The sequence below is a fragment of the Homo sapiens genome, chromosome 13, assembly GCF_000001405.40.
Source record: "Homo sapiens chromosome 13, GRCh38.p14 Primary Assembly".
NCBI classification, from domain to species: Eukaryota; Metazoa; Chordata; class Mammalia; order Primates; family Hominidae; genus Homo; species Homo sapiens.
Window position 1 is genome coordinate 48,543,347 of NC_000013.11, and position 13,364 is coordinate 48,556,710.

At 39.9% G+C, this 13,364-nt stretch overlaps 1 long non-coding RNA gene across 1 annotated transcript in view; it reads left to right on the forward strand.

Moving 5' to 3' along the window:
- The window catches only part of LOC124903174 (uncharacterized), a 28,657-nt gene extending 15,643 nt beyond the window's left edge, over window positions 1-13,014 (forward strand). The window contains exon 2 of the long non-coding RNA XR_007063795.1: window positions 12,688-13,014. This is a non-coding gene — a long non-coding RNA (uncharacterized LOC124903174). The remainder of the gene's footprint in view (window positions 1-12,687) is intronic.
- The last annotated feature ends 350 nt before the right edge of the window (window positions 13,015-13,364 follow it).

Sequence of the window (13,364 nt, forward strand, 5' to 3'; positions counted from 1 at the left end):
GTAAAATTGAACACAAGTGTGTCTATTTACACTGAGACCTGCTTGGAAATACTTAAATATTGAGTGGTCATTTCTGAGAGTTGACATATTGACTAATTTATTTCTCTCTTGTATTTTTATATTGCTTAAGGTTTAAATTTTTATGTGAATAATAATCTTTTTTAAAAGTATGATTCCTATTTATCTCATGTTACTTATAATGGGGTTTTTTTTCTAAATATATAAGATCTCATAACTGGCATTACATGATTTTCTCCATGGCATGATCATCAACAGGAAATGTTTTAATTCTAGAATAACATTTACTGATAAACATTTTTGGAAATATTTAAGCATTTCCTGATCTGAAAATTTTTGTGATTTTTTTCTTTGTATAGTTTATTGTTATACTTAATAATGCTTTCCAGCCCAGTGGAGCACAGTCATCTTGTCAGAGAAAAAACACTTTCAGAAAAACATGAGTTTTATAGACATTTTCTACTCACTAGAAAAATGAAATTAGTACATTTTTCACTTAGTGGTAAAAATGATAAGCAGTCTCCCTTTAGCCTACCTTTAAGAAATTTCAATTTCTTGGGTCCATTTAATTCTCCTAAGACACTGCATATTCTTAAAACAGAAAGGATATTTTTAAAAAATTTCTAGGCTTCCGGAGAAAAATTGAAAAAGGGTCTTCTTTCTTTTGTTAATGACCTTTTAAATGGCTGGTCCTGCACAGGGAGTTAAGGCCAGGCTATCACAGTAGACAAAGGAAATAGGCTCAGTGCTGCATGCTCCACATTATGAAAGTTGTGACAAATTCAACGTAAGCTATAAGCTTACTCTCTGGATCTCATAAAGTAAAGTCAGAAATGCCAGAAAGAAACGTGTGGAGCCGACGCTGAAGATGAATCTAGAAAGGCAGTTCCTCAAGGGCATTGATAAATATTAAACAAAGAGCAGATATGGTCTGGAGGATGACATGAGGGGGACAGGTTGGATGTAGGGAAACAAATAGACGTGGTTGAAGGAATCCAGAGGAATTTGAGCAGTGGTTTTGAGATGGAGAGGAGAAGAGAAAGCAAGAATTAGGCAAATACTTACATTGTATAGTCTCTTTGGTCATTTCTCGCTTGTTTTCTCTTAGCATCATTGGAGTCTTCAGAAGGGTTAAACTGAAAACAAGATTTTTCTGTCCATCCTTGGGTCAGAGCTCTAAAGGAGGAACAGTTGGCTCCTGGAAGCCAGCATGGAACTCGTAAAACTAAGCCAAGACATCTGCAGATTTGTGTTTTGGTTGGACAAATCCACATCTTCACTTGATGACTGACAGTAGGAATCACCTCCCCATACATACAGATAAAGATGTGATCCTGACCCCAGTTCAAAAACAGTAGGCCATCAATCCCAGGGCCATATTGGAGCCTTGATATCCAATCTCTGTTCTCCTTTTAGGGTATTCAGTGGGGTGGTGTTCCTCACACCCTCAGCTTGGAGTGTTCTTATAACTTCTGGAATGGGCCTGATCATTTGCAGCCTTCCTACAAAACTGGCTCTTCACTCAAATTTCACTTTAGGGAACAGACTGCTCTGAAATCTAGTTAGAGGTCAGATGAGGCCTTCCTAAGTTTTCTCTGGAACAGCAGGAACTCAAACCTGATCCTGCCATTCCAGTCTGAGCCAACTTGGGTCTGGAGATACTGTAGCAAATCTGCAACCTGGAAGGAAGGATGGGGCTGTCTCCCCACCAAGATGTTCAAAATCCGGAATCTCACATCAGCTTCGGCTCAAGAATGCCATCCCAGCTGTGAAATCACAATGCATGGGTCAGTGAGAAAGTTTAAGAGCCTCACCTAGAAGAAACGGTATTGAGTCTGTATTATTTAGAACCAGTGTCCGTTTAATCCTCTCTCCTGAGATTCCTATCTGGTGTGCTAGTTCCTAGCTAGAGTCTGGGGCCTGAGACACAAGTCGCTAGAGAAACCTTGGAAACCAATATATCGTCTCATTTTGCAAGACCTGGTATAATGTTTCTAAAGCTCAATAGTATAGTCTAAACTGATGGTCTCATATACATGACAGTGGAATAAGAAACAACATGAACATTTTAATTTTTTCTGTACTTTGAGATAATTACCCTTGTGATGGGTTTGAGGTAAACTCAGCTTCAGGGTTTCCAAAATTAAAATTAAGAGAGAGGTCTATAGAAAATTTCTGGCCCTATCCCCTGGAGTTATGCAGCCTGGGGTATGGCCCGTGGGACTGAAACCCTGTCCCAACATCACCACCAAAATGGCTGTTGATTCTGTTCCCAGGGGACTTCTCAAGTAATTTATAGAAGGAGAAATGAAGCTTAAGACAGGCAAATTTGGAGGCGATTATCAGTCAATGGTTTACAACAGGGCTGCCAAGTAGGCAGGACCCACACTATTGAGAAACCGGGAAGATGCAATGCAATGCTCCAGGCTCTGTGGCTATGCCCCATGCTCTCTTCTATTTACTTTTCACCTCAGTTCACTTCTATTTCTGATCTCTTTCCACAAGATTGACAGGGCTTTCTTTTGGACTTCTCTTTGATTAGGATTTAGCTTTTCCTTGGCTCACTCGGGGTTTCAACATCCTGGAATGCTTTCCCAGCACATCTGTGTATCTCAACATTTTCCATAGCACTCTGTCTTTCCTGATCACCTATGACCCAGCACTGCCACTTCATTCATGGGAATGTCCAGGCCCTCATTTAACCAGTCTTCCTAGTTCCCTGTTCCCTTTCCTACCCCATAGGACCACTTGAACCAGCTCATGGATCAGATACGTCTTCCACATCTTCCAAAAAGCTCAGAGGATTTTCTACCCCAAAGAGATAATCCTCAGGGAACCTGCTGGTCCCCTCCCTTTTTCTTTCAGTGTTTGAGACTTGAAGAGGATTATTCTGATGCTTTCTAGGCTCATCAGAGGATACAGGCCTATGGATCACTATGAAAGCATCCACTGTGAAACGGAAAATTGTGTTTTGAAGATAATGCTAGAAAGCTGACACCGCTAAGTCATACAATTCTCGTCTGTTCACAGAATATGATCAAAACTATTTTTTAGAACAAAGTTGATGTTTTTAGCATTGTCCCTGAAACTCCTGTCTCAGTGTAACTCCTTTACCCTGAACTGATTTGGCTTTAGAATATAAATTAGTGGTAAGACATGTATATGGCAAATGATTTGAAATGCAGAACCATGGCAACAAGAGCTTCTGTTAGAGAGAAAAGGAACTAACACTTATTGAGTGCTGTGTACTAGGTACCATGTGCCATTAATCATAGTGATAATGACAATATTGGAGCATGCATATTATGTTTAGGCATTGCTCTAAGTCCTTACATATGACCTATTTTAAGCCTCACAATAACTCCATGAGATGAGCACTGTGTCACTGTCCTCATTTTAGAAAAGAGAGGCTTAAAGAGGCTGAGTAACTTGTTTAAGATGAACTGAGTACCAAGCCCAGGTCTGTCTGAATCCAGCATCTTCTTACAGCATATTTTAAAAATGGATGAAACTTCCTACGGATTTAAAACTTTAAAGTTTTAGAAAATGAAGAGCTGAGTCACATGGCATAACTTGGACCTGATATAGTTAAATAATGATGAGATAAATGAGTTTTGACTGAGATTATCCATATTATCTCAATTTACTACATTTAGGCTATGAACACAGATTTCAATGGAACTCAAGTGACCATTTCATGAGAATGTATACATTGCGTCCTTTCATTTCATCTGTGTTTGTTGCTACAATATCAGAAGGCTTACATGGTTAATTCTATCTTAATATATAACTAGTCTTAATCATATACAGAAAATTTCTATTTAAATCTAGTAGGTAAAATATGTATACAACCTCTTATTTAAAAAATTAAGGCCAGCCTGGGCATGGTGCTCATGCTTATAATCACAGCACTTTGGGAGGCCGAGGCAAGTAGATTTCTTGAGGCCAGGAGTTCGTGACCACCCTGGCCAAAACAGAGAAAACCCGTCTCTATTAAAATACAAAAATTAGCCGGGCATAGTAGTGTGCACCTGTAATCTCAGCTACTCTGTAGGCTGAGGCAGGAGAATCACTTGAACCTGGAAGGTGGAGGTTGCAGTGAGCCGAGATTATGCCACTGCACTGCAGCCTGGGTGACAGAGCAAGACTCTGTCTCAAAAAAAAAAAAAAAAAATTAAGGCTAAGCACAGTGGCTCATGCCTGTAATCCCAGCACTTTAGGAGGATCCACTGAGGCCAGGAGCTCGAGACCATCTAGGCAACATAGTGAGACCCCCATCTCTAGCACCTTGGAGTGTTCTTATAATTTCTGGAATGGGCCTGGTCATAACTGGGTGTGGTGGCGCACATCTGTAGTCCTAGCTACTGGGGAGGTAGAGGTCGGGGGATCACTTGAGCCCAAGAGTTCAAGGCTGCAGTGAGCTATGATCCTCCCACTGCACTCCAGCCTGGGTGACAAAGTAAACCCTATCTCAAATAAATAAATAAATATCTGCTTTTGACATTTTGGAAAAAGAATAAACGAAAACCTACCCATATTTGCTTTTGTGTTTCAGACCTTTTTTAGCCAGGCATTTAAGACTGGCTGAGTGTAACCTTTGCCCTTGGCATTTGGGGGCAAAACCACAGGTATAGGCCAGCCCTGGTATTCGTGGGAGGATTGCACCATTCAGCAGTGTCAGGTCATGAAGCACAGATTCTCTCCAACAGTGCTTCATAAATACAGCAAGTGAATTTGGGAATGTGGTCTGTTTAATTTAAAATTAGCTTCTTTCTCCAGAAGATTTTCTCTTCCCTATGAAAACTGTTTTATCTCTCAGGCCTTTTAATCTTTTATATTTTTTAATAGTTTCTCTCAGTCTGTTCACTTAAACTCCTGAAATGAAATCACATTCTACATTGATGGAATTGGTCTAAAAAACACACATATGTTCTCTATATTGAGTAAATGCACATTACTATCTCCATTTTAAAACATTCTTTCATTTTAAAAAAGGAAATAAAATGGACTTATTATAGGCATAGATCATTACATACACAAAAGAAAGAATCCATCCTCAGCTAAGAAATCTGTGGAAAAAATCGTGTATTTTCTCTCATGATTAATTGCGGGCTACCCTGCCTTGCAAAGCCATCATATAAACTATTCAGAGGGAAGAGGTTAAATAGTTCTATAATATAAAGTCTTGCTGAGGGTGTGGGAAACAGGCATTGCTGGTGGGAGTGTACACTGAAACCCCTTCTTTGTAGTGCAATTTGGTAAAATCTGTCAATATTTAATATGAACATACTTTGACATCTTAATCTTATTTCTAGGAATCCATTCTGTCATGAACTTAGCATCCCTGCAAAAGCTGCCAAGCCAAACCCAGTTTTTTCCGTAATTTTCCTCTGACTCAAAAATGGTATTCTCAGTCCTTGTTAGGCCCATTTTTATTTCTCCACACCATCCATTCAACACTTTCACAGTGGTAGGAGAATATGAATTGCTCAGTTCTGGGGTGGAGATTTAATCTTAGTTTAAAGATAGAAAACATAACATAGTATAGTGGACTGGGGAAACTGTTGGGTTATTTGGTCTTGTTATTATTGTTGTTGTTGCCTGCCCAGCACATTTGGTCCCAGTACGCCATTTGCCTTGGGGAACATTTTCCTAACTCCATATGGTCTGGATGGGGTTGTGCTATGGTCTGAATCTGTCCTCCCAAATGCATGTGGGGTTGTGCTATGGTCTGAATCTGTCCTCCCAAATGCATGTGTTGGAGACTTAATCCCCAACGCAAGTGTTGGGAGATGGTGACTTTTGGGAGGTGTTTAGGTCATATAGGCTCTGCCCTCATGAATGGATTCATGCCATTATAAAAGGGTTTGATGGAAGGAGTTTGAGCCCTTTTGTCCTTCTATCTTCTGCCATAGGAGGACACAGCAAGAAGGCCTTCACCAGATTGCAGATGCTTGTGCCCTGATTTTGGATTTGCCAGCCTCTAGGGTTGTAAGAAGTGAATATCTGTATTTCCAAAATACCCAGTCTCAGGTATTTTGTTATAGCACCACAAATGGACTGACAGGGTGTCAATTACTTTTTGGCCATGGGATGGTCATGTGATCCAGACTGGGTCACTCATGGTTCATTATATGCTTGATAAACTGATTGGTTTAAGAATGGCCACGTGATTCCACAGGAACAGCTTTCTTTTGAATTGATATACAAATGTGGTGAGTGAATTGCTTTTCTGCTGGGATGGCTGGGCTGGGAGAATGTGAATCTGGGGCTACCAGTGGGTGCCTTCCCTGGTTGCATGGAGGAAGCCTGTCTTCAGTGGAAAGGAAAAGAGTGAGGCCAATAGAAAGAGGAAAACAGAGCAGCCATGGAAAGAAAGAGAGAGAGAGAAGGAGAGAGAGAGAGAGATTGAAGGGCAGGGAGAGAGAAGGGAAATGAGAGAGAAAACAATGTTATTTACTATGCGTAAATCTAAATTCATCCCCAGACTTCCCTGTTTTATAAGCCAACTTACTTTCCTTTTCTCTTCCTTAAGTTAGTTTGTCTTGAGTTTCTGAACTTGCAAGTGGTAGAATCCAGATTGTCACCTGTCTCCTCCTCCTCTTTGAATTCCATCAAGAATCTACTCATATAATGCCTTAGTGAACAATGAACACTTTACTGAATATTTCACTGATAAGAAAAAAGAGAAGGTTGGCAAGGTATTTGCCCAGAACACAGCCTGCAGATCCCCACTGTCATTTCTCATCTCTCCTTGCCCCATCCTACTATAGGTGGTTTTCCTTCTGATCCTTCCACCTCACAGCCTCCAGCCTCTTTGGTTCCTTCTATATGTAAAACAATGTAGCTACCATCTTTTATTACTTGAGCAGTCCCTTGAGATTTTGACTTTGATTCCAAGTACTTTTTCTTTAAAACTAAAACCAATATATCCATTTTATTTTGCATATTAGCTGGTCTCAAGCCCATAACCCTTAAGACATGACTTTTGGGTAAAGTAGAAGGAAGCATGTGATTCACATCCCATGCATGCCCAAAGCAAGCCACTAGCAAACTGCTGCCCTGAGAACAACCAGACAATTATAAATCAAGAAAAAGAGACCAGAAACAAAGATGCTTAGATTATCCCTCAGACAAAGCCTTGATCAGTTTACCAGTTCAGCTTCATGGAGGGAAGAAATGGAGCAGAGCATCCAAGAAGGGTTACATCAATGCATCTATGCATGAGACCTTTTATTGTGCAGTGGCTCTGTTCAGGAGTAAATATCGATGGCGGCAGCAGTCATGATTGCCAACTGCAGTGGGAAAGGTGCAGCAGGGGCTGCAGGATCCATGGAGTTGACAGGAGCAGGGAACAGGTGGGGGCTTCTGAGTTGGAGGAGTAGAGCCCTGCCCTCCTGGGCACAGCTGCAGCCACCCTGCCGAGGCTGAGGACCCAGGCATCCCTGTGCTCTTGGGGACCCAGGAAGCCCCCCGTCCCTGCAGGCTTGAAAGTGCCTGCATCCACTGCTTGGCCTCTCCCTGCTCCCAGTGCCTGCTCCAATTTAGGAGTAAAGTTGAGGCCAAGTCCAAGCATTGTTGCAACATGGCCAGGTGTGCACATGCCTGGAGCAGCACTGACATGCCAGCCCCCTGCCACCTCAGCTCCCTCCAGACTTTGGGCTCCAACATGAGCTCCAGAGGGAGGATGAGGGGGTGCTGAGGACAGCTCTGCAGGGGCCTGCAGGCACCCCTGAGCACAAACAGCTTGGGCACCATGGGTGCCATAGAGGGCAGGTTGATGGTGTCAGGAGGCAGACAGGCTTCTGGGTGGAAAGGGACAGATCCCCAGTGAAGCCCTACCTTCAAGCCAGGGATGGCATGAAGCCGGGGGGCCAGGCTGCCAGTTCTGCAAATGGGGTGAGAATTTATGGTGCTTTTTCCTGGCCCATCCATGGCCACTCACAGATGAATCAGCATGCACTCCCTCCCCTCTGAAGCCCATAAAAACTCTGCACTCAGCCAGACTCAGGCTGATGATGGAACAACCTGCCTTTTTCAGATAGGAGTTACCCACTCTGGGTCTCCTCTCCACTGAGGGCTGGACACTCATTGGTCAACCTGCCTGCAGAAAGGAGCTACCCACTTAGGGTCTCCTGAGAACTGTTCTGCTGCTCAGCCTCTCTGCCTTGCTCACCATCCACTTGTCTGTGTACCTCATTCTTCCTGGACATGGGACAACAACTCGGGACCTGCCAAATAGCAGGACTAAAAGAGCTGTAACACAAACAAGGCTGAAATGCATCCCCCAGCTTCCCTCTCACCATGTTGTGGGTGACAAGGAGAGAAGAGCTATGGCCCTTTGGGCATCCCAGACTTAGGGGCTCCCTGAACCAAGGCTGTGACAACCTCTTTGGGGTTCTGCAGTTTCTGGCATCTCCAAACTTCCAGGTGCCACCACGTTCCCCTTGTCCAGATGCAGGTGCCCATAGTGGAAGCTGCGTGCAGTACATCTAGTCCAGCTGCAGTCTTGCATGGAGCTGGTACCTATGCCCATGCCTGGAGCTGCCTGCCCCACCAGTGTGACTGGCTGTGTGCAGTGTCTGGACCCTGTGCTCACTCACCCACACACCTCTAATTGCTCTGTGACTGGCTGGCACTTGGCAGGTGTGGGATCTGGGCCAGTAGTGTGAGCTGAGTGCAGCCTGCTGGGCCAGGTGGGTGGAATGAGCCCAATGAGTGTGAGCAATACTCAGGCAGAAGGCACCCCGGCCACAGAGGTTTCTGGCTGGAGAAGTGATACCCCAAGGATTCTGTGACAACATGACCCAGTCAATATTCTGGAATCAAATTAGTATTCTCCCTTTTGGAGAAGGAGAAAAGAAAGGGAGAAGGATGGTGTGTCAGAAACTATTGATTATTCTCACAATATCAGTTCTTCTTTTCTTTCCCTATAATAGAAGCCCGAAAATTTAGCTGTGTACTAGCCACTTGGAATAAAAACTACATTTCCAGCTGTGCTTGTAGGTAGGTATGGCATATAGCTAAGTTCCAGACAATGGGATATAAGCATAAGGTGATGTGTACAACATCCTGAAAAAGTCCTTAGAGATAGGGGATATTTGTTCTTTTTCACTTTTTCCATCTGCTTGGTCAGAATGTGGATGTGATGGCTGGACCTAAAGTAGCTTCTTGGATCACAGGATGGAAACCATATGTTGAAGATGATAGAGCAACAATTGAGAAAGAGCCTGGGTCTCTGATGACTGTAGAGTTGCCATACCATACTTTTGTCTTCTATAAGTCACCGTTCGTGTGTTCTCTGCACACTGTAAGTGAACCTATCTTTTTTGTTTTTTTTCTTTGAGACAGAGTCTCACTCTGTCACCCAGGCTGGAGTGCAGTGGTGTGATCTCGGCTCACTGCAAGCTCCGCCTCCCAGGTTCATGCCATTCTCTGGCCTCAGCCTCCTGAGTAGCTGGGACTACAGGCACCTGCCACCATGCCCGGCTAATTTTTTGTATTTTTAATAGAGACGGGGTTTCACTGTGGTCTTGATCTCCTGACCTCGTAATCTGCCCGCCTCGGCCTCCCAATGTGCTGGGATTACAGGAGTGAGCCACTGCGCCCGGCTGACTGAACCTATCTTAACTGATGCCAGTGGGGATACTATCTACTTTATGTGGCAATAATCAAGAAAGCTTTGGACTCTGTGCTACAAAATTTAGATATTTTTGGTGTATATGGTGCATGGGAGCAAATAATAAATTTTTAGATATGAAGAGAAATGTCAGAGGAATAAAATTCATTCACATTTGTGATAATGTTGCATTTTCCCTTTACATCACTAAGAATTAAGAGCACAATTTTTTAAAGTTCATTTCACCACCAAGTGTGACATTTGTAGTAAGTTTTTAATAAGTGTTCTTGATGGTTTAAGAAAGTTTCCTTCTGTTCCTCAATTAAATATTCTTTTTGTTTATTTTAAAATCATGAATAAATGTTGAATTTTATTAAATGCTTTTATTGGGCATATATTGTGATGATCATATATTTAAAAAATTTTTTAATATGGCAAATTATATTAATATATTTTTATGCCTTAAACTATCCTTACATTCCTGTGATAAACTGGTTAGTCATAATAATTTTTTAAATTATTATTTTTAATTGACTCATAATTTTACATATTTATGGGGTACACGGTGATATTTTGATACATGCATACAATGTGTAATGATCAAATCAAGGTAATTACCATCTCCATCACCTCAAACATTTATTATTTCTTCATGTTGGGAACATTCAAAATCTTCTTTTCTAGCTGTTTGAAAATATACAATAAATTATTGTTGACTATAGTCATCCTATAGTGCTATAGAATGCTAGAACTTATTTCTCCTATTTAACTGTACTTTTGATTCCTTAACCAACCTCTGGCATCCCTTCTTCCCACTATCCTTCCCAGGATCTAGTACCATCATTCTACTCTCTGCTTCTAAGTCATGATAACATTTTTGCATACATTGCTGAATTCAGTTTGCTAAAATTTTATTTATAGGATTTGCATCTATATTTATACATAAGCTTACATTCAATTTTTCCTTCTTATATTTTCTTGCCTGGTTCTAAGTGGGGAAATGAGTCTTCTTTTCCATTAGAAATATTTATTTCTTTTTTCTTTTTTGAGATGGAGGCTCACTCTGTTGCCCAGGCTGGAGTGCAGTGGCATGATCTCAGCTAACTGCAAACTCTGCCTCCTGGGTTCAAGCGGTTCTCCTGCCTCAGCCTCCCGAGTAGCTGGGACTACAGGTGTGCACCACCATACCCAGCTAATTTTTGTATTTTTAGTAGAGATGAGATTTCACCATGTTGGCGAGGCTGGTCTCAAACTCCTGACCTCAGGTGATCTGCCTGTTTTGGCCTACCAAAGTGTTAGGATTACAGGCATGAGCCACTGCACCTGGCCTCTATTAGAAACATTTCTAATATTAAAAAGAGTTACCTGCCCCTTAAAATTTTGGTAAAACTTGTTTGTAAACTCTTCTGGGCATAGTGTTTCTTGGTATGTTTATTTTGTAAACCTTTGAATTAATTTTTTCAAAAGTTATGAGTGGGTTGAAAGTAATCTAGTACCCATGATAAGTCAATACCAGTTTTTTTCAGCAATTGTCTGTTTGGATTTGTTAGTTGTCCTTTGGTTTCGTCATTGTCTATCCTGTATCAGTTGAATATTTTAAAATATTACTCTTGGATATAGACCTATTCAAGTTTTTTATTTCTTCTTGAGTCAATTTACATAACTTACATTAAACCAAAAATGCCCTTTTTATCATGAAGTTGTTCATAGTATTTAGTTAAGTTTTAATGATCTTTATGTTAAACTCTTATTTTTCATATGGTTTATTTGTGCCTTCTTTTCTTGATCAATCTTGTCAGAGAATTACTTAGACTTTCTTATATAATTATAATTTTGGGGTGTTTACTCCATTCTTTTTTTCTAACTTTTAATTGAACATTTAACTCATCTATTTTCTATCTTAAAAATGTAGACATTTAAAACTATAATTTTTCCTCTTAGTATCACTATCTGTAATTAATAAGTTTTAAAATGCAATACTCATAGAATGTCATTCAGGTTTAAACACATCTCAAATTTAATTGTAATTGTTTCTTTCAGACTACTTTGAAATTTCAGTTTCTAATTTTATTGCCTTGTGACCGGTTTATTATGTATGCTATTGATAATTTGTATTTTAAGACTTCTTTTGTGGCCTAGAAGAGTGCTCAGTTTTTATAAATTCTCTATAGGTGCTCCAAACTTTAATTGTTGGTAAGAGTTCCTCATGTATTCTTATATTAAGCTTGTTAATATCATTTTATTCAATTTTTCTATATATTGACTTATTTTTTCTGTCTTCTGTCTTCTCTTTCACCCATCCTAATGAGATTTTCACAATTTCTCCTATTTTTTTTGCTTTATATGCATATAAGACTATATTGTTCATTGCATATGGGTTCAAGATTATTTGTTACTGATCAATTGTTTTTTTCTGTCACTAAGTCTTAATCCTTTTTATCACTAAAACCAAAGTTTTTCTTAAAGTATCTATTATCTGATATTACTTTAACTACATCATCTTCATTTTGTATAGTATTTGCCTAGTATATTTTTCTTTTTTTTTCTTTTTTCTTTCAATTTTTCTGGGTCATTATAATTTGAATGTTTTCTTATAAAAAGCTAATTTTTAAATAGTTTATAAAAAGTTTTCTTTTAAAAAGCTAATTTAACCCATTTATATTTATTGTAAGTTCTGACATGTTTGGTTTCATGTCTGCTATCTTTTTTTGTGTTTTGCATTTACTATGCTTTGTTTTTACTTTTCCCTATTACCATCACTTTTCTCTAGTGTATTTGATTTATTAAGTTTTCTTGGGCCCTCAACACTTTATTTTAATTATTTTACTAGTTACCTTAAATTTTTAGCATGCATAACTGATATGACAAACTCTAAAGTTAATTGTAATATTCTGTTACACTGAACTGTGTCTCTCAGTATTCAGGCCCTTGTGTAGTCTGCTCCTCTTGAATCTGGGCTTGTCTTTAACCAATAGTATGTGGCAGACGTGACATCAGATCTGAATATAACATTTTAAAAGGCCTAATGGCTTCTGCTTTTGCACTCTTAGGCGCCATGGGCTAACTTGCTGGAGAGCCACATGGAGAGACTGTATGGAAAAACCACAGGGAGAGGGAGAAGCCTTGAGATCACATGGAAGAGAACTGAGGAATTGAGCTGACAATGAGAATTGAGGTCCCAGCCTATGGTCCCAGTTGTGTGTTCCAGCCAGCATCCAGTTGTTTGAACTGCCTCTATACTAGTAAACAAGTAATTAATTAATACAAGTAAATGAAAACAAGTAATAAAGTAATTAATACAAGTATTAAGTGAGTGAAAAAAAACATTTACCCACAGAATTGTGAGCAAATAAAGTGGTGTTGTTTTAAGCCTCTGATACTTGGGATCTATTTCTACATGATGACAGATAACTGAAATGTTAATGAAATCTTGTCCCTCATACTAAATTACATACCATTCTTATGCTTTAATTCCAGTTTCTCCCATGCTTGCCAATATTCCATGCTGTAGTCTTTTTATGGTTCTATATTCCCTTTAAACATCTCAAAATTAATCATTTAAATCAGTTTATAGTTAATAATTCGTTGGATATACCCACATGTTACCCAGTTTTTTTTTTGCTTAATGTTGCTTCTTATATCCACATACTCATTTTGTGTCCTGTTTCTTGTTTTCTTAATTATATTCCTTTGTTGATTACTCAGCAACAACTGAGTGATAAAAAAT